This window comes from Homo sapiens, chromosome 22 (genome assembly GCF_000001405.40).
Source record: "Homo sapiens chromosome 22, GRCh38.p14 Primary Assembly".
NCBI classification, from domain to species: Eukaryota; Metazoa; Chordata; class Mammalia; order Primates; family Hominidae; genus Homo; species Homo sapiens.
This window is the reverse complement of record NC_000022.11, coordinates 48,709,565-48,729,742: the sequence shown is the minus strand read 5'-3', so window position 1 is coordinate 48,729,742 and position 20,178 is coordinate 48,709,565. Positions and strand designations below refer to the sequence as shown.

Sequence of the window (20,178 nt, the reverse complement as noted above, 5' to 3'; positions counted from 1 at the left end):
ATATTTATGTTTTATATTTAAATTTATATTTATATATTTAAAATAAATTTAAATATAAACTTATAAATTTATATTTATTTATATTTTATATAATTAAAAATTACATAAACAAAATTTCCAGATTTAGTGATCAATACACTAGCTACACATACCACATACACTTGTGAATAATTTTTCCTTTGCTCTACAACTTGACTGACTGGTGTAAGAGGCACAGCTTTCAGCCTGTCTTAGCCTAGTAATCTGATTCCTCTTTTCAGATTTATATTTGTGAATTTATATTTTATACAGATTTATGTTTATGAATTTATATTTTATACGAATTTATAATATAAATATATTTATGACTATTATATATTTACATATATTTATAAATTATTATATACTAATATAAAAATATATATTTACAAATAAATATAAAAATATTATATATTTATAAATAAATATAAAATTATTATATATTTATAAATAAATATAAAATTATTATATATTTATAAATAAATATAAAATATTTTAGTTCCTAAGATAAACTGGATGATTTTCCATATTTTCCAATATTTGGGAAAAGAAACCTGAACACTTAATATTTTAAGCAGCGTGCCTATTAAAGTATTTCTCTCTGAAAATTTTACTGAAGAATATTAACATTTATCTATTCCTTCAGTTATGTATGGTAGTTTTTCCCCTAGAAAAAATATACATTTAATAAAAATTTCCAGATTTAGCGATCGATACACTAGCTATGCATACACTTGTGAATAATTTTTCCTTTGCTCTACAACTTGGCTGACTGGTGCAACAGGTGTAGCTTTCAGCCTATCTCAGCCTAGTAATCTGCTTCCTCCTTTCAGCTCTATTTTCTGATATAAAATAATTTATGTAAAGAAGTAAAACCACATTTTTATAGGTTTGTTAAAGGTGCAATGACACACTCCATGCCTTTCTTTTTAAAATTCATTAATATTTCTTTTCAGCTTTACCAGCTGTTTTCTCCTCTTTGAGGGGAAGGGTGGCTTTTCCTCCCGCTTAAGTTGTGTTCATTCTTTCTGATTTGAAGATAAAGGCATTTAAAGACATACATACACTGATGAGTAGCTCTTTCACTGGATCTGCAAAAATACCGTGTGTTATTTCTATGACATTCTAAATGGGATATCAATAACTCAAATGCATATATAATATTGTTCAGTAGTGCTAGCCCTGCTCAAATCACTTTAATATACGAATTCATCCAATGCTTACAAAAGCCCTAGGAAGTGGTATTTTGTCCATATTATAAATGTAGAAACTGAGGCATAGAAAGGGAAGTTTGCTCCAAGTTAACCATCTGGCAGTTGCTCCATCCAGCATTGGACACCAGCAGATGGACTTCAGACATTGCATGTGACCTTCTGTGAGTGTGGCTTCTTCTTTTATTAAAACTTTCAATCAATAAATTATAAGAAAGTCCTGGTTAATAAGGCTTTTATTTTTTGGTGTAAGTCTCAATTTTAAATACAGTGTATTCTCACTGGAAAAGAGGGCTGGTGCATTTCTTCTCCTAGTGTGATTTAATTCATGACTTGGTTTATGGCTCTTTTTGTAGAGATTTCAACAATGATTGAAAATTGGAAGCAGCCTTGTTTGTATACTATAATTTAGATATGTGGCTCAAATTCAATTTTAGTTAATTGTAGTATTCAAAAGATCTATGCACTGCTGCTTTTTGTTGTTGTTATTGGTGGTGTTTACTTGACCTTAATATAGATTAAGTTATTTAAATCTCAGCTAAAAATTGTTTCTGATCATATAATTTATTTGTAATTGTGTTTACATAATCTATTCTTATGTATGCTAATCAGTGCATAATGATTTCTAAATGTGACACTTTCATTACAGTCTGAACTGTAAGGCATAAACGTGTCAATAAGTAAATGTATCAATATATGACAATATTGTTCCAATTTAATGTTTTACCTCTCAATTTCCTTTCAAATGCATTTGCCTGATTTATCTTTATTTATTTTTTGCTTTTAACCTTATTATTTTGTAGGAATGCCCTTAGAAGACAACACGTTTGGCTATTTTCAACACTTGATTTGATAGTCTTTGCTTTTTAATAGAGGAGACTAATCCATTTACATTTATTGTCTTCACTGATAGTGACATTCTATCCGAACACTATGATCCAAGTTGATTTCTGGATATGTTCCTTTCATGATTGGTCTTGTCTTTACATACATGCACAAGTGTCACTTGCTTTTTACTCTCAGTGGTTTAGTTGAAATTATATTTTGTCTCTATTTGTGATAGCTTTTATGTTAAGCAAATGCACTCTTAATGACTACATCATTTCTCTAACGACTTAAATCATCATGGCTCCTTCTATCCCATGAGTGACTCCAGCCTGCCACTGCCTGCTCCCCACAGCCTCTGTTAGTTTTACTAGAGGTTACAGACCACGTTATTTTCATGCACCAATTGTTTTTCATAATATACAGAGTATATTAAATAATAGTGCTGTGAATCTTATGTTCAATTTTATAGCCATAGTTAGAGGAATCATTTATATCCAGCCCCATGTATTCAACTGATATCAATGGTCACCATTAATCATCTTACATGTGACCTTTTCAATGTTCAGCTCCTGATGTTTCTTTCTTTCCTGATTGACTTGAGTGCATCTTTTCCTCACTTGTTCAGGAAAGGTATGTAGGTGGTATGATAAATGTACCTGATAGCAATAATTTAAGCATACCCTGAGAGTGACCCCGTACGGAAGATACACCTGAATGTGTGCTCTGAGCTAGGGAATCCAGGAGTGGCCAACCTGGAGATACACTCCTTGTCTATGAGGAACATCTGAGCCCCCAGCCCGTCCTATGGAACGTGGCCTACACAGGGGATTGAGGCTCCAGATCCGGGGTTGAATGAAGAGTGCCAGGTGGAGCCTGCTTGGGGGAAGGTGCTATTTGAAAATGCCATATAAACTGCAAGCTTTTTGCATGTGGTTGTGATTTTCCTGTCCAGCCCACCACCACTGGACCAGTGATTCTCCCGTATAGACTACCACGACTGGATTGTTTCTGTATGTAAAGTAGTTCACCTGTCCAGCCCACCACCACTGGACCAGTGATTCTCCCGTCCAGACTACCACGACTGGATTATTTCTGTATGTAAGGTAGTTCACCTGTCCAGCCCACCACCACTGGACCAGTGATTCTCCTGTACAGACTACCACGACTGGATTATTTCTGTATGTAAGGTAGTTCACCTGTCCAGCCCACCACCACTGGACCAGTGATTCTCCCGTCCAGACTACCACGACTGGATTGTTTCTGTATGTGAGGTAGTTCACCTGTCCAGCCCACCACCACTAGCCTCTCTACCCTGTATGTAAGTGCCCCCCACCTCCAGGTCTCATTTGCTGGCTCTGGGTCTCTTCTTCAACCTCTTGAACCTGATGCCATCCGCACTGAAGACAGTAAGGGTTCGGCATAACTGGTAAGCTTTCTAAATCCTTGCAAATCTAAAGCTGTCTTATTTATTTACTTTGCCCAAAAACAACAAAACAAATAGAAATGAGAACAAATTCATAAGTAAAACGATGTTTCAATCATATATTTACATAAGTCTCCCTCTTGTCTCCTGGTTCTAAGTCTCACTGAGTTCAGGGGACAGCTTGCATGTGTGTTTGTGGGGATTCTTGTTCTCTTGTCTTTCTATTTTCTTAATATTCCCTGGATGGTTATCACAAGGGTTTCCTTTGTTCTTGAAATTCAAAGATATCACCATAAAATGGCTAGATCCAGGGTGTTTTTGTTTGGTTTTTCGTTGGCAGTTTCCTCCAGCTCGAGTAACTTTCTTTCCAACACTATGGTTTTCACTCTAATGTGATTCTTCCTTCTGCTGGAGCCATTGAGGTTCCCCCTCAGGAGCATCCACGACTCTTCAGTTAGATATTCATCCTCTGTCCTCCAGATCTACCAACTTCTCTTTATCTGTTTTGTTCCATTTCCTTGCTTTTTTTTTTTTTTTTCTGTGAATTATCTCTTGGTTTTAAGATTAGTCTCCTTATCACTGTTTTGATTTTCTGCAGTTATATTTATGTTATTTGCAGCTCCCAATACACAACTAAACTCTACTTTTACATCTTTGGTGTCTCCGTATCCATCTTCTATTTCATTCAGAAAACCCTTGGATGTCTGCCTTCGTTCCAGGTCCTGCCTCACCTTGGGTTCCTGGCTCCTGGGTCACGGCCATGCAGTCCATCTCTGTGACACCAACAAGCAGACACTTTCTATAAAAGTATTGTCTGTTTACTGCAGAGATCTATTTTCAGAGCTACCTCTGCCCTAAAATCTTTAGGACAGGATTGCTTTCCATAGATAGTGCTTATTATTATTATTACTTTTTTACGGGCTCATACTTGAGTTTTGACTTTGAGGCTTAAAAAAAAAATGCCCTTTTAAACCGGCAGAGGTCAATCAATCCTGGTCTAGAATGAGCCATGGGGCATGGCGGGGAGCTCGTCTCCAGTCTCGCTCTGGTTCCTGCAGGTGTGGGAAGCCCTGCCCACTCCGGGATGGCCTGAAAGGTCCGGGCGATGTGCAGCAGGCCTTCATCTTCACAGGATGCCCGACAGGCTTCCCGCCAGCTGGAGGCGGCTCCTCAGGGCTGGGCTCTGCTCCCTTTTGGGAGGTCAGACTTCTGTCTAAGCTGCAGAGTTTTCTGCTCCTTTGGGAATGAGAGCTGAACGGAAGAACACAGTTCCTGGTGCGCCCCTGGCCCTCTTGCTTACTCCTACTCTAGCTAAGAGGCTCTTCTGCCATCTCTGTGCCTCTTCTGTGAAACTTACCTCCACCCACTGCCTTTCCTCCCTGCCATGCCGCAGGCTGGGAGCTGAGTCTCTGCAGGACCGAGCAGGGGATGCCCCCTGGGTGGGTAGGATTCCACCTCTGCCTGCCTGTGAACCCTCTGATCACTAGTTTCTAAGTCCTACGGTTAGACCCAGGCCTGAGAAGGAAGTCCAGGGCTTTTTGTGCATTACAGGAGGTCACTGTCATAGCTGGGGCTCAGAGGATAAGGCACGGGCTTCCACTCCTTTGAGCCCCAGGGGGCTTTCCCCAGTGCTTTTCAGCGCTTACTTGTTTCTTTCTTTAGGTCATGGTGTTATTGACAGTTGTTCTTATTTCCAAAGCATATGTAAAACTGGACACTGGGCAGAGGCTGTGCAAGGAGTGAGTGTGTGGCTGCATTAATCCAGAAAGCCACGGAGGCTTCTATGGACTTGCAGGGGAGCCCATCTTCTCCTCTCTCCTCCAAACGCTGGAGAAGCTCATTCTCTCTGTGAGTGGAGGGTCCCAGGTGTCGGGAGGAGGGAAGCTGCAATCCCCCACTCATCCAATCCTCCTCTCTTGAAACCTCATCAGTCACATGTCCCTGTGTCCTGTGAGAACCTGAAGCCACATGGCCATGACTACACAGTGCCAAATCTAACCAACAACAAAACAAAGCTTTTGAGAGATGCAGCAATGCAAGCAGTACCCTGAGTCTCTCCTGCTGCAGCAATGCAACGAGAACCCCGAGTCTCTCCTGCTTGCAGCAATGCAACGAGAACCCCAAGTCTCTCCTACTGCAGCAATGCAACGAGAACCCTGAGTCTCTCCTGCTGCAGCAATGCAACCAGAACCCCGAGTCTCTCCTGCTGCAGCAATGCAACCAGCACCCCGAGTCTTTCCTGTTGCACAGCACCAATGACCAGATGGGCAGGGGTTTCCCAAAGAAGAGGCTGAGAGTCTGACTTCATTCTAATGCTGGATTCTAATCGGGCATGTAGACATTCCAGGATACTCTGGAAGATACCACATGTGGAAAACAAGAATCCTTTTCCTACACAGAGAACTTGTCTGTGCCTTAGGTAGGGCAGAAGCAAGCAAGAGGGCCAGGAGCACAGCAGAGCCTCAGAAACCTTTCTCGTCCACCATTTTCCTTTCTTATCATCCCATGAACCTGAAGGGTCAACCCTGGGGGCATTCTTACCCCCTTCTACAGATAAGGAAACTGAAACTCTAAAGATAAACTGACTTCCACAAGGTCTCCCACCCTAGCACGCAGAAGAGCAGTCACTCTTCCAGGCAGGGGGAGGATGGTGGGATCTGACCCAGTAAGTCTTTTTGGTACAATGGCCGCATCCCTGGAAGGGGCTTGTCAGTCTGGGAGGCACACAGTGGTTCAATCATGCCCAAAGCCTATGGAGCCTGAGATTTATATTCCAGTTCAGGAAGAGGTGATATGCGAAGGGACCCAGGGACAGAGCCGCAGTGACGAAGACGCCGGCACTGATGAACACGACGGGGTAGAGGTGTCATCCAAGGACCTGTGCCACCCGCCATATCTTGGGTTTAACGGGGAGCTGACATTTAAAGTAATTTGGATGCAGACACAAATCCTTCTATTTCATTTTTAAAGACTGATCTTTAACAAGCGCCCATGCCACACGTCGTATTTCATTCCCACTGTGGCATGCAGAAGCCATTTGGAAGGGGGTGGCTGGCAGAGCCCCGGTATCCTGTGTGCTGCTATCTGGGTCTGAAGAGCTGGGCTGAGAATGAGGCACATCTGGACACACCAGCCAAGAAGACGGCACACACAGGTGCTGTGACAAAGGGACCGGTCTGTCATGATGGGAACCTGGGGCTCAGGGGACAGGCTGGGCACAGGTAGAGGGCGGCCTTGGGGCTAGAGACAGCTAGAACGAGCTTCTCCAGCGTTTGGAGGAGAGAGGAGAAGACGGGCTCCCCTGCAAGTCCATAGAAGCCTCCGTGGCTTTCTGGATTAATGCAGCCACACACTCACTCCTTGCACAGCCTCTGCCCAGCGTCCAGTTCTACATATGCTCACTGTTAGGATGGACCCTAGACATGACTGCCCTGTGGCGTGCAGCCCAGCTGATTGGAGACAGCACCTCACTGTTAGGATGTACCCCCGGCCATGACTGCCCCTGTGGCGTGCACCCACCTTGCATGTTGATCTTACTTTCTTTTTCAATTTTTGTTTTTATATACTTTAAGTTCTGGGGTACATGGCAGAACGTGCAGTTTTGGTACATAGGTATACATGTGCCGTGGTGGTTTGCTGCACCCATCAACCTGTCACTTACATTAGGTATTTCTCCTGATGCTATCCCTCCCCTAGCCCCCCACCCCGACAGGCCCCAGTGTGTGATGTTCCCCTCCCTGTGTCCATGTGTTCTCATTGTTCAACTCCCACTTATGAGTGAGAACACGCGGTGTTTGGTTTTCTGTTCCTGTTGTTAGTTTGCTGAGAATGATGGTTTCCAGTTTCATCTATGTCCCTGCAAAGGACATTAACTCATCCTTTTTTATGACTGCATAGTATTCTATGGTGTATATGTGCCACATTTGCTTTATCCAGTCTATCATTGATGAACACTTGGGTTCACTTTCCAAGTCTTTGCTATCGTGAACGGTGCCGCAATAAACAATGAGATACCACCTCACGCCAATTAGAATGGCGGTCATTAAAAAGTCAGGAAACAACAGATGCTGGAGAGGAGGTGGAGAAATAGGAACGCTTTTACACTGTTGGTGGGAGTGTAAATTAGTTCAACTATTGTGGAAGACAGTGTGGCGATTCCTCAAGGATCTAGAACTAGAAATACTATTTGACCCAGCAATCCCATAACTGGGTATGTACCCCAAGGATTATAAATCATTCTACTATAAAGACACACACACACGTATGTTTATTAAATTTTTTTTTTTCAGACAGAGTTTTGCTCTGTCGCCTGGGCTGGAGTGCAGTGGTGTGATTTCGGTTCACTGCAGCCTCCGCCTCCTAGGTTCAAGCGATCAAGCGATTCTCCTGCCTCAGCCTCCCAAGTAGCTAGGATCACAGGTGCGTGCCACCACGCTTGGCACATTTTTGTATTTTTAGTAGAGGCGGGGTTTCACCATGTTGGCCGGGCTGGTTTCGAACCCCTGACTTCAAGTGATCTGCCTGCTTGGCCTCCCAAAGTGCTGGGATTACAGGCGTGAGCCACTGTGCCCCACCCTGATCTTACTTTCCACAGTACAGTCAGGAAGGAATAAGTTCATCTTTGTCCTTTACAAAGAAATTAATCTCAAAGTGATGTCATCTGTAAGATTATAAGGATTATAAACCAATAGGAGAAAAACAGGTTTTCCAGCACTTGGCCAGCACCTTCTGCCAACCAATAGGAGAAAAACAGGTTTTCCAGCACTTGGCCAGCACCTTCTGCCAATCAGTTCATGAGACTTGGAATCAGACAGTGGCACCGGTTCCAACGGCTCTGGTGAGGACCTGAGATCACACACAGTGGACGGGCTTGAAACAGCAGCACGGAGGCAGTGCTCTGGTGAGGATCTGAGGTCACACGCAGCGGGCGGGACGAAGGCAGTGGGTGGCATGAAGGCAGTGGGCGGGCTGAAATGGTGGCACGGGGGCAGTGGCCCAGGCTGCTCTAGAATGGCCAGGGAGGTTGTCCCTCACAGGGGCAACCCTCTATGGGGAAGACTCCAGTGTCTAAGGCGGGACTCTATCCTTCCCCTAGGATTGTGTAGATTCCAGGGCCATTTGAAAGTCCAGCATCCCAAAGCCTCACCCATCGAGATGGAGCTCACGTCCACCTTCCTGCTTGGGCAACCACACAGTGGGGCTGTCAGGGAGCCTGGCCCAGCAGGGGACAGTGGCCTTAGCGCCCTCAGGAGAGGGGGCCACTCGGGTTCCTCATCCGGGGTCTTCACGTGGGTGTGACTTCACTGTGCATGAGGGGGCCTGAGGCAGGAACAAGAAGTGCCTATTCTGGGATCCACCCAGAAAGGGTCCCCAGGGGTCTGGGCAGGACGTGGAGCCCTTCCAGGGCATTCCGTGGTCTGCACTGTGAGCAGAGTTCCTCTAGACCACAGCCAGGCCCTGGAAGGTGCTGCTCAGAAATACGTCTCGAGCACAGGGAACCCTGTGGAGGCTCCGTGCCCAGGTGCCAGCGTGGTGGGGACCAAGGCATTGCATTTCCATTGTGAACATAATGAGAACTTCTGGGAAGCTGCCCTGTCAGCAACAAGACAGGGTGTCTCCCCATGTCTTGGAGACCAGGCTCCCCGCACCTGCATAGCCGGAGGATGGTCCCCAGGACCCCTCTGTCCTGGCTATGCACGGTGGGATGTGAGCACCTTGCCGCAGTCCCCGCCAGGTAAACAGAGTGCTGTCTGCCATTTACTCAGCAAGCCTTTCCCACCTCTCTTCCCAGTGATGTGCCAGACTCAGAGGCCAACCAAGCAGGCCCATTTGGCACCAAAAAGTGACCCCTCCAGCGATTCTCGAGGGGTGTCCCTGAGATGTTGGGTCACGTGTCTCATCTCTGCATTCCAGTCTCTGACTTGGCACCAAAACAGTGTCAGAGGGATGGGAACGGTGGGGAGAAGACAGGGAAGCAAGGGCAGGGAAAAGGAGAAGGAGGCACTGATCATGTCACTCAGACAAACCCTAAGCCTGATCCTCACCCTGACCCAACGTAACGTAACTTTCTGACCAGTAGGGGGCACCAGGAAATCCCCAGCCCCGCCACACCCACTGGGTTTCGCGACAGACCCCGTCCACCCTTCTGCACCGGGCGAGCGTCCTCACATTTCAGCCATTTGCCATTTATGTATTTAAAACGATTCAAAGAACAAATTCTTTAAGGAAGATCGAGCCTAATGCAGGACAATTACTGTAAATGGCGCCCAGCGTGTCACGTCTCCCATTACAAAAGTGGCCCAAAGTGCAGACAGAAATAATGTGGGTTTGGTCAAACCAATTTTTTTTTGTTTCTGGGCTCATTTCTGCTGAGAAAATGAAGAGTGTCACTGCTTACAATACTAGCTGATGTGGCGCCGGCCATATACGTTTTTGTTTACACACAGAATCTATTAAAATGTCCAGCCATTATCGTGGTGATGAATAGCGGTGATTCAAAAGAACGCAAAATGGATTGCAGACAGGGAGCAGAGTAATGACTTAGTATTTTTCATTGTTTGTGCAGAAAAAAGATTAGTTAGGTGCGGGTCCCCGGCCACTTCTGGCCAAGTACCCACCCCTGCGCCGTCTCTCAGACCTGTTTAAGCCTCAGCCTTCTTTGTCCTTGGGAGAGAATGCAGGGGGGGCAGTCCTGAGGCCACCTCGGCCCACCACCACCCTGCTCTCTTGGGCTGGTGAGAGGGTAGGGAATGTCCTTCTCTCTCCTCTTCCTTCACGATCCTTCTGGGCAGTTTTCCTCTCCCCTGGCCATCGCAGCCACCTCTTCCTGAGCTCAGCCTCCCTCTCCCTCCAGTTCCCTGAGTCAGTCTCCATGAACGCCATCTGATCACACTCCAGACGGACTTGGAGCCTCTGGGCTCTGGCCCAGGCAGCCAGGGCTGAGCTGCTGGCTGGAGGGCTCCGAGGGGAACGGGACGTGCCACCTCACCCGAGGGGCGGTTCTCTTCAGTCCTGCCGGCTCTGCGTCCACCTGGCATTAGTTCCAGAAGGACGGGGAAGGTGAGCCGGCCTTGGGAAGCAGAGCCCCTGCGGGTGTGTGCAGGCCAGGGCCCCTGGCGAGAGGAATGTCTGCACACCTCCCCACACGGGATTCAAAAGAAAAAGTTGAAAATCCCCCTGGGCCCATAAAATGGATTAAAACTGCGTTTCTTCCACGTTGAGAACAGCTATGCTCCCCAGTCCTCAAGGCGGAGCTGACCCGGCCGGGCAAAGAGGATTGCTCAGCTAGGAGGACATGGGGACAGACAGATGGTGGAGGGCAGGGTGGGCCCTCAGCCATGGTGACAGTGAGCCGGGGGCAGGGGCCACCTTGTCACATGAAGGGAGGAAGTGACAAGCTGCACCCTGTCTCTGCAGGGCAAGCCTGGTGCAGGATGGGGACTATGAATGCTCCCAGCAACAGAGAGGGAAGAGGCTCACACGGAGGACTGGAAGGTTGGGGGGCGGGGGTGGAACTCCCAGTCACTTAAGAAACTTCCAGAATCCGAAAGGGCTGCGTGAATTCCTGGTTGACCTCACGGGGCCGGGGGAAGCCTGGCTGGGACCAGGGTCCTTGTGCGGGGAGGGGGCCCCAAGGCCCCGGCTTGGCTGTGCTCTGGGGAGTACCAGAGATGCTCTGGTACTCTGGGGAGTGCTCTGGGAGATGAACCGCAGGCTCCTAATGGGGGTCGGACAGGGCAGACACAGGTCGCACGGGAGGATGGCGCCCACACAGGTCTGCCAGGCCCATGTCCTCCCTCCCTGCTTGCGTGTGGTTGGCTGCCTGGTAACTGTGGATCCTCCCTCAAGACACCTCTTGACTTCCCTCCACAACCACAGCCACCACCTTCCTGCTTGGGGGCCTCCCCGCTGCCCCCACAGAGGCTCAGTGTTCAGCTACAGCATCCCCCTTCTTCCTCCAGCAGCCCCGGCCTTTGCTGACTAATGACGGCCACAGCGGGGCCCAGTGTCTGCTGTGCAGGGGGCCAGGAAGTGGCCATGGGCATCCCAGGGAGAGGCCGGGTGAGGACGCCTGGGTGCACCCTGATACCACCTCGGCTCTCGCCTGCCTGTCTCTGGGAGAGGGCATTGCAGACCCTCCCGGGCCCTCCGCTTCTGCTCAGCCCGTGGCCTGCTGTCCGCAGCAGCCCTGCCCTGGCCATGCAAGGCCACGAGCTCCACAGCCCACCTGGGCTCGTGAAGGCAGCTCTATCTCACTCCCAGATGAAGTGGCTCTGTGTCCTCCCCCACCACACGCAGGACAGACGGCTCCCGGGCCTTGCAGACTGGCCCTGCCCAGCCTGGGGCCTTATTCACTTCTGGTGACAACCTGGTCCCTCTGGATGCCTAAGCCTGGCTCTCCAGGGTGCTGGCCCAGAGGACCTGGGTGGACCCTCTTCCCTTGCCTATGCCCTGACCAATTCAACTGGGCCATCACCCCCCTCAGAAGCTGTGCCCAATGATGATCACCCCCGTGTGGCTCCTGGAGGGCAGAGGCCATGCCTGCTCTGTGGTCCCTGGGAAGCACTGGAACTCTCCAATGGCACCTGCAGTGCCCGACAGAGAACGGGGCCTGATGAATACGTGGGCAATGGATCTGGCTGAGGCAGTGCTGGCTCGGCCACAGCTCTCCAACGTTCCCACGCTGGAGCCTCAGGGCATTTGTGCTTGTTTTCCTAGAAAAATCTTCGTTTTTTCCCTCCCTGAATGCCTGCATATTTGGAATTCATTTGCGAATTCCTGCTAGAAACATTGGGTGCTTCTTCATTGCCCTCTCCCTGGGAGACACCTCTTGTCCCCTGACCCCTTCCCCTCATCTTCCGAAGCACAGGTACGTGCAGGGCTCCTCCTGGGATGTGCAGGGCTCCTCCTGGGATGTCCAGGGCTGGAGCCTGTTCTTCCTGCACCCTTGACGGCCCGTTCCAGCAGTGATGGAGTTCCAGGTCAGGAGTCGCAGCCTGCGCTCTGCAAGACCTGGCAACACTGTTTCCCGGCTTCGGCGATCTGCTGAGAACCCGACGACGCTGCTGTGGGCGTCTTTGCCCATGACCTGGTTTTTCCCTCTGAGTTTTGGGGATGTTTTTCATCTCCCGTGGTCTGAAATTTCATGCTGGCATGCTTTAGGATGCGACTGTATTCATTCATTTTCTGGGCTTGATGAGTACTCTCACGGGGAAACTGACATCAGTTCTGGAGAGATTTTTAGAAAGCATTTCTTTGATAATTTCTTCTTCATTTTCTGCTATTTCAGGAGGTTATATCGTTCAGAACTCCTGAATCAATTTTCTGATTATTGTTTTCCTTTCCTAGTTCCCATTTCTTTTAGAAAATTCCACTCTCTGCTTTCTGAGAGATTGCCTCAGTTTTATGTCTCCAACATTCTACTGGGTTTGTAATACACTCTGCTGCTACACACACACAGGCATACAGTACCTATAGGCATACCATATGTACATGTATGCACACATCTCTGCCATGTAGACATATACGTGTGTGTATGTGTACAGTTTCCCAAAGCGCTCTCCAGGCTCTTATTAAAATTTTACTTTCAGTTCTGGGATACATGTGCAGAACGTGCAGGTTTGTTACATAGGTACACATGTGCCACGGTGGTTTGCTGCACCTATCAACCTGTCATCTAGGTTTTAAGCCCCACATGCATTAGGTATTTGTCCTAATGCTTTCCCTCCCCTGGCCCCCCACCTCCCAACAGGCCCTGGTGTGTGATGTTCCCCTCCTGGTGTCCATGTGTTCTCATTGTTCAACTCCCACTTATGAGTGAGAACACGTGGTGTTCGGTTTTCTGTTCCTGTGTTAGTTTGCTGAGGATGATGGTTTCCAACTTCATCCATGTCCCTGCAAAGGGCATGAACTCATTCTTTTTTATGGCTGCATAGTATTCCACGGTGTGTATATGCCACATTTTCTTTATCCAGTCTATCATTGATGGGCATTTGGGTTGGTTCCACATCTTTGCTATTGTAAATAGTGCTGCAATATACATATGTGTGGATCCTAGGCAGAAAGAACAAAGCTGGAGGCATCATGTTACCTGACTTCAAACTATACTACAAGGCTACAGTAACCAAAACAGCATGGTACTGGTACCGAAACAGATATATAGACCAATGAAACAGAACAGAGGCCTCAGAAATAACACTACACATCTACAACCATCTGATCTTCGACAAGCCTGACAAAACAAGCAATGGGAAAGGATTCCCTGTTTTATAAATGGTGCTGGGAAAACTGGCTAGCCATATGCAGAAAACTGAAACTGGACCCCTTCCTTACACCTTATACAAAAATTAACTCAAGACGGATTAAAGACTTAAATGTAAAATCTCCAGGCTTCTCGACACTCCTTTAATGAGCTCCCCATCCCACTTGTCTACTGCCAGGCCATCAACAGCATCCAGACTCACTGTCCAAACTCAGTGGTGACATCTGTGGCTGGGGCAGGCTTGCTGGCCAGGCTCACCTCTGTCTCTTGAGGCGCCTGGGTCGGGCCAGCAGGCCCCACCACTCACCCAGTCCTGGGCTCCCCTCTTCTCTCCAGCAGGACAGGCTTGGGGTAATGACACCTACAGGGCTCAGGGGTCAGAGCCAGTGTTCCAGGCAGCACATGGGGTCACAACCACACCCTTCCACCTGCCAAACATGTCCCTAAGGCTGAGAGCCAGGGAGAGGAAGCAGAGCACCCAAGAGGAGGAAGATGGAGGCCCTGGCCTCCTCACCTCCCTGCCCCGCCCCACCCCCAGCCTCCTCGCCTCCCTGCCCCATCCTGTGTCTGGATGCATGTCCGCTGTCTCTGAGGCTGAGCTGTGGTTTAGTTGGTGTGCTGGCCCTTCCTCTGCTGTCTCGATGACTCCTTGCGGCCTCTACGTTCCTCGCTCCTCTTCCTTTGGCTTCTTCTGGTTTTGTTTCTCTCCCAGAGTGACCTTTGCTTTCCACCATGTTTCGGAGCACAGCACTGAACAGCCGGCTGGTGGCAGGTGGGCTTCACAGAAGGGCCCTGTGGCCCCCAACTCATGGCACCCATGGGTTCTGATCTGGGCCGGGTGAGTTCAGTGGGTGGAATGGGGGGCCCCCAAAGTTCATGTCCACTGGGGAACCTCAAAATCTGACTTGATTTGGAAATAGGTTCTTTCCAGGCATGATTAGTGAAAGATCTTCAGATGAAATCATCCTAGATTTACAATGGACTCTAAAGCCAATAGCTGGAGTGTTTATAAGAAAAGGGAGAAGGAAATTTGGCAAACAGAGCAGGCCCCATGAAGACGGATGCAGAGAATGGACTGCTGTGGCCACGAGCCAAGGAACACCTGGGGTCACCAGAAGCTATGAGAGGCAAAAGAGGGGCCTCCTCGAGAGCCTCCCAAGACAGCAGGGCCCTGACCACTTGATCTTGGACCTCCTGGCCTTCAGGACCTTGAGATAATATGTTTCTGCCATTTTCAGCCACTCAGAACGTGGTCATTGGTTATGGTGGCCGCAGGACACACAGGCAGGAAGTGTATCCAGAAAGAAGCCTCCTGTCTCTTGACTGAGCCCTCAGGGAGCTGAGTGGGGACTCACCTCAGAACGTCGATTTTCACCTAATCGCCTGGTTTCCAGAAGTTCCTGCCATGCTTGGCTGTGTTTCCGCTGCAGGGTCCAACGCCGCCCAGGTCTCTCCCTCTCTAGCATGAGCCTCTGTGAGTCCAGTTTTCTTTGGATTCTGCAGGGAGCTGAGGCCCAGGTGGTGGGTGGGAAGGACCAGGGGTCTCTTATGCAGCCTGTCAACTGGGCCCACCTCTACAGCGCTGGGAGGAGGCCGTCAGCACTGCCCTGCATCAGAATGGAGGCAGAGCCCACACACTGCTCTCCTGGGGCTCAGCTCTGCTTGTCAGCTCCGTCCACCCGCTCCCATCCTTCCAGACCTGTCTTGCTGAGTTTGCACTCAAAGCAGGAGGCCATTTTCCCCCTTTCGTGTCCCTGTCACCCTACAGGGGGTTCCAGAAGGCACATAAAGGAAGTGTGAGTGTCTCGTCCTCTTTAACTGGGACCCTGGTGCAAAAGCGTCTGCTGTCTCCCATGGATGGCTCCTCCAAGAATCAGGGCTCAGTGTGCGGGCCACGGACACTCTGTCCTTCTGCAGGGCCGCCCTGGGCGAGGGCCTGGCACGGGAACGCACTCTTGTGCCCCAGCTGCCTGGCGGATTGGCACAGACACGGGAGGACTGGGCTGGGACCCCGGTGTTGACACCTCCTTCTTCACGCTGGGGGTGCTCTGAGGCAGGGTAGGTCCTAGCCTGTTCTTCCCATGGATCTGTTAGTGGGGCCACGTTGACACATGCTAAGCCCTCAGAATCCGAGAACGAAGAGACCTCACGGTTTGAGCTTGCTACCGCACAGATGCCTTTCCTGGGATGGGCCCCTCCTCCAGGCTCCGAGCTTGCAGGAAGCTCAGGGGCAAGGATCCTGGTGGCCTGGACAAGGCAAGCCATCCACTGGGACAGGGGCTGTGCAGCCAGAAGGCTCCTCCCCGTAGCAAGCTGGCTCCTAAATCCCAAACAAGGCCCCCGTGGACGACGCTCAGCACTGCTGGAGATGCCAACGGGAGAGCTCTCGAACCACGAGATGACCACAGAACCTTTCCCAGAGGGGCTTGTAGGTGGCGTGAATCATCCATCGGTGGTGAGTCTGACCTCCAGAACTCGCCGGCAGGCTGACAGCACAAGCTGCCCAGCCCAAGTCAGCAGCAGTTTATGGCAAGACGAGAGAAGAGACAGCATTTTGGCAGGCTGCTGGCCGGGCCACCAGGCCCCAAGGAGACCTCAGTGTCCTCTTGTCCATATCCAACGGAGGCCCTGGAATGGCCTGACTACACCACACTCCTGGGATGCCTGGCCGGGGTGGAATTTAGACATCCGAGCCCCCACGAGATCAGCGGCAGCTGCCGTCTGCACGTCCTCAGAATCTCTCACGTTGGGCAAATGGGCTTTTAGTGTAATGAGTTGCCATGAAATACGAGTTCCCGAATAGAACCATACAGAAACCCCGCTGAATTTTCTTCACCCCCACAACTGTGATTTCATGCAGCACAGAATTAGAAGGTGGTACTCAATAGCGAATGTGCAAACAGGATTTCCATCTAGCTGGCTGATTCTGATGTAGGAGATGGCACAGCTCACTGACAAGTATCTTGCAATACATAAACACTACAAAAACGTGGCTGAGCAAACACTGATGAGAATATTTCCAAAAGCCAGTTGCATGTGTGGTTTGCAGCCCCAGCCAAGGAACGTCTGTGGAGAGAAGACCTGCTTGTGTGTGGGCCTGGCCTGCTCCCCTCGGCCCCACCAGCCCTGCCTGTCCCTCCTCCTCCAGCTCTGAGAGCCCAACTCAAGGACAGAGGAAGGCAGAGGCAGAGCACAGGAATGGGAAGGAGGGCGGACAGCAGCTCTAGGCCTGTCCCCAGGGAGCAGGAGCCAGAGTGGCGGGCCAAGAAGGAGCGTTGCTCACACCTCGGGAGAACCTGAAACACCCACCCAGGGTCCCCTCGCCTGGGGCAGGTGGACGTCCACAAGGTAGAGCCAGCAGAGAGGCAGCACCTGGAAAAGCACCGCAGAGGTCAGTTTCTCTCCAGTCCCCACAGGATGCGGATTTCCAGCCTTTCATAGCAACCTAGGAGAAAGGCTTCTCCCATGTGAGCCTGTGTGCCCAGGCGCGTGCTTTGTCACCGGGCGCTCACCCTCCTGACACAGATGTTCTCTCACATTTTCACTCTATTCCTTCCTCCTTTTAAATGCTGGTCATGATCTATTAAATTAATTTCACAACCCACTAATGGGGTGACGGCCTGCACTTTCAAAAGCAGTGATCTTGGGCCGGCACGGTGGCTCACGCCTGTAATCCCAGCACTTTGGGAGGCCGAGGCGGATGGATCACCTGAGGTCAGGAGTTTGAGACGAGCCTGGCCAACATGGTGAAACCCTGCCTCTACTAAAACTACAAAAACTAGCTGGGTGTGATGGTGGGTGCCTGTAATTCCAGCTACTCGGGAAGCTGAGGCAGGAGAATCACTTGAACTCGGGAGGTGGAGGTTGCAGTGAGCCAAGATTGTGCCCTTGCACTCCAGCCTGGGTGACAAGAGCGAAACTCCATCCCCAAAAAAGCAGTGATCCTGGAAACACAAGCATCAGCATGTGCCTGGGGTCCACACTCGGTTAATCCATGAATCGTGAATCCACGTGTCACACAGAGAGGCGCAGGCATTGCAAGGGGACGGGGCAGCAGCACCCTTAGGCCCAGCGCCCGTGCTAGGCGACCCACACTCTGGTGGCGCCACACAGAGAAGTAAACGGCAACGGCCCACACCGGAAGGGGTTGAGGAGTGACGGGGGATCGGCGCGATGGTGGCGCGCAGCTGGGCAGGCTGGGAGCGGGTGGCTGCCTGCATCAGGCCTGGGCTGGAGGCCAGCTCTAATCTGAGAACGTGGCCATTAGGATGGAATTAGCAGCAACTCAGTATCCGCTGAGTCTCTAAAAGCCAAGTTATGAGAACGCCATCATCTCGCAGAAAACCAATTTATGGTAAAGTGTGAAATCTCATGTAGCGCTAATTTACCATCTAGGAGAGAACTCAGATGCAATCGCACAACTGGGATTGTAGCTTCCAATTCTATGGTGTTTGGTTCAAGAGCTCAACTAACCTTTTCAGAAAGCTTTGAACACAGGTCACCACAGGCCAGTGATTCCATTAGGAGCCGGCTCTCCTGCTGTTCCCAGAGACTTCTCCCGAGATACCTGGGAAGATTACAGGGCCCACCCCGGTCCCCTGGAGTGAGCACACGGTCACTCACCGAGATCTACCGGCCCAGGCATCCGCGGCCCATGTATACAAGGTGCCCCCGCCATAGCAACATGAGGCACAGGCTGAGAGACAGGTCTTCAAGCCCCCGACACACACTCTCCCCCAGGAAAGCAGAGCCGTCCCCTCCACCTATGAGACCTCACTCTCTAGAAGAATCAGGGTGCCTGAGAGTCACTAGCCTGGAAGTGGACAGCCGTCCTTCCTCTGCTGGATGACGGAGTGTCCTGCTACAGTCAGACTCCCACCTGCCCATGTCCCTGGTCCCTGCAGGTGCCCTCTAAGCCTCCACCAGCAGAGGCTTGGGGGGTCCCCTGCAGTGTCCTAATGATGGGAAGATCAGAGTATCTGAGTCTCCCGAGCTGAAAGCCACTTGGGGTCTCACACCAAGCCAGGTCTGGCCTTTGTGTTGAGCAGAACAAGCAGAATCAATCCCACCTCCCTGGACTTCTGTACACCTGGCCACCAGCAGTCACTCCAGCTCACCCAGCCGCAGTATTCAAGCCTGTGAAACTGAGCTCCCAAGCCCGTGAGGCCCAAGGGAAAGGGAGTCTGCAGCCATCTCCCCCAGGCTCTCTGAGCACACCAAGCACCGGACAGGTGCAGCTATTGTTCCCAAAGCCAGGAAGGCTCGAACCCCTCTGGAATATCCCAGGTGCCTGGTCAGCCTCTGCCTCAAATGCCCCAGAATAAGGGGGGCTCACTGCCTCCCGTGGTGGGCCCTGTGGGCTTGGACTGAGCTGACACGGTGAGCACCTCGGTTCTCTGTCTCTGCACACACAGAAGCCATGCTGGCCAGGCAGACCTGGACGGACGCGGCAGGCTGCTTGGGCGGCCCTGGACGGATGCGGGAGGCTGGTTGGGTGGCCCTGGTCTGGCTCTGGGGTGGGTGAAGGGGTCCCTGATGAGATTTCATGAGAATGACTCAGGTGCTGAAGAACTACAGGGGAGGAGAGAGGAGAAGACAGGCGTTCTGGGTGAACGCAGGAGGCAGGGAGGGCTGGGTCCAGGGTTTGGGCCAACAGTGAAGGAAAACACCATGAAGCTGTCTGACAAGGCATTATCCAGGCAGCCTGACAGGTTGGGGACAGGCCACATCTGTGTCCCCCACTTACCAGTGTGCGCCCTGCATACGGGGGGCTTCACTGGTCACTTTAATTAGCGTTGCCCTTAGTGGGGCCAAAAGGTCTGCCACGGTAACCCTGGGCAGGAGCGGCTGCAGAGCTGCACAGGAGAAGCCTTCATGCAGATCTGAAGACCCCGATGGTGCCTGGTGGGTGAAGGGCATCCCTCCAGGGGGATGCAAATGCCCTGAAGCAAGGTAGAGGGGGTGGTGGCACAGCACTGTGAGTGTGCCCAATGCCACTGAGCTGCTCGCTTTAAAATCGACAACTTGATGTTATGTGAATTTCAGCCCAATAAATTACCAAAAACCAAAATGTGATGATGCCAGCAGCCTCCAGGTAAGGACCCAATCCTGTTCCTGACAAGCACCTCGATGCCTTTGGAGGGGCTGGGCCAGTCCTGGCCCTGTCACTGGCTCAGCAGGGCTGCCTGCATCCAAGTGATGACCTGCTTATCCACCGCCAGCTCTCACAGGGTCTGTGGACTCCCTGACTTCCCACCCCGGTGAACTGAGCAGTCCTCTCACAGAGGTGCATCCGAGTTCGTTCCTGAAGGGGTGCAGCCTGAACGCTGGCCTGGGCGCCTCGTGGGCCTCAAATCACGAGGAGGAGGGGCTCATCAAAGGGCGACTGAGAAGTGATGGGTCACTGGAAGCTGGGACCCAGAGTGGCTTTCACACCC

At 50.6% G+C, this 20,178-nt stretch overlaps 1 protein-coding gene across 2 annotated transcripts in view, besides 5 other annotated features; it reads right to left on the bottom strand.

The window, feature by feature from the left end:
• TAFA5 (TAFA chemokine like family member 5) overlaps positions 1-20,178 on the bottom strand; it is a 262,380-nt gene that overhangs the window by 22,190 nt on the left and 220,012 nt on the right. The gene's annotated exons all lie outside the window — the stretch shown is intronic.
• Positions 10,717-11,306: an enhancer, noted in NCBI's record as "H3K27ac-H3K4me1 hESC enhancer chr22:49114249-49114838 (GRCh37/hg19 assembly coordinates)". NCBI's record gives its function as "activates a minimal SCP1, AML or CMV promoter by ChIP-STARR-seq in primed H9 embryonic stem cells {active_cell/tissue: H9 hESC(primed)}" and the evidence as "EXISTENCE:reporter gene assay evidence [ECO:0000049][PMID:30033119]".
• Positions 10,901-11,070: an enhancer, noted in NCBI's record as "experimental_63517 CRE fragment used in MPRA reporter constructs". NCBI's record gives its function as "activates a minimal promoter by MPRAs in K562 erythroleukemia cells, with activity observed for the introgressed 22:49114570 variant allele {active_cell/tissue: K562}" and the evidence as "EXISTENCE:reporter gene assay evidence [ECO:0000049][PMID:34662402]".
• Positions 11,307-11,896: an enhancer, noted in NCBI's record as "H3K27ac-H3K4me1 hESC enhancer chr22:49113659-49114248 (GRCh37/hg19 assembly coordinates)". NCBI's record gives its function as "activates a minimal SCP1, AML or CMV promoter by ChIP-STARR-seq in naive H9 embryonic stem cells {active_cell/tissue: H9 hESC(naive)}" and the evidence as "EXISTENCE:reporter gene assay evidence [ECO:0000049][PMID:30033119]".
• Positions 11,499-11,668: an enhancer, noted in NCBI's record as "experimental_63516 CRE fragment used in MPRA reporter constructs". NCBI's record gives its function as "activates a minimal promoter by MPRAs in K562 erythroleukemia cells, with activity observed for the non-introgressed 22:49113972 variant allele {active_cell/tissue: K562}" and the evidence as "EXISTENCE:reporter gene assay evidence [ECO:0000049][PMID:34662402]".
• Positions 17,437-17,936: an enhancer, noted in NCBI's record as "H3K4me1 hESC enhancer chr22:49107619-49108118 (GRCh37/hg19 assembly coordinates)". NCBI's record gives its function as "activates a minimal SCP1, AML or CMV promoter by ChIP-STARR-seq in primed H9 embryonic stem cells {active_cell/tissue: H9 hESC(primed)}" and the evidence as "EXISTENCE:reporter gene assay evidence [ECO:0000049][PMID:30033119]".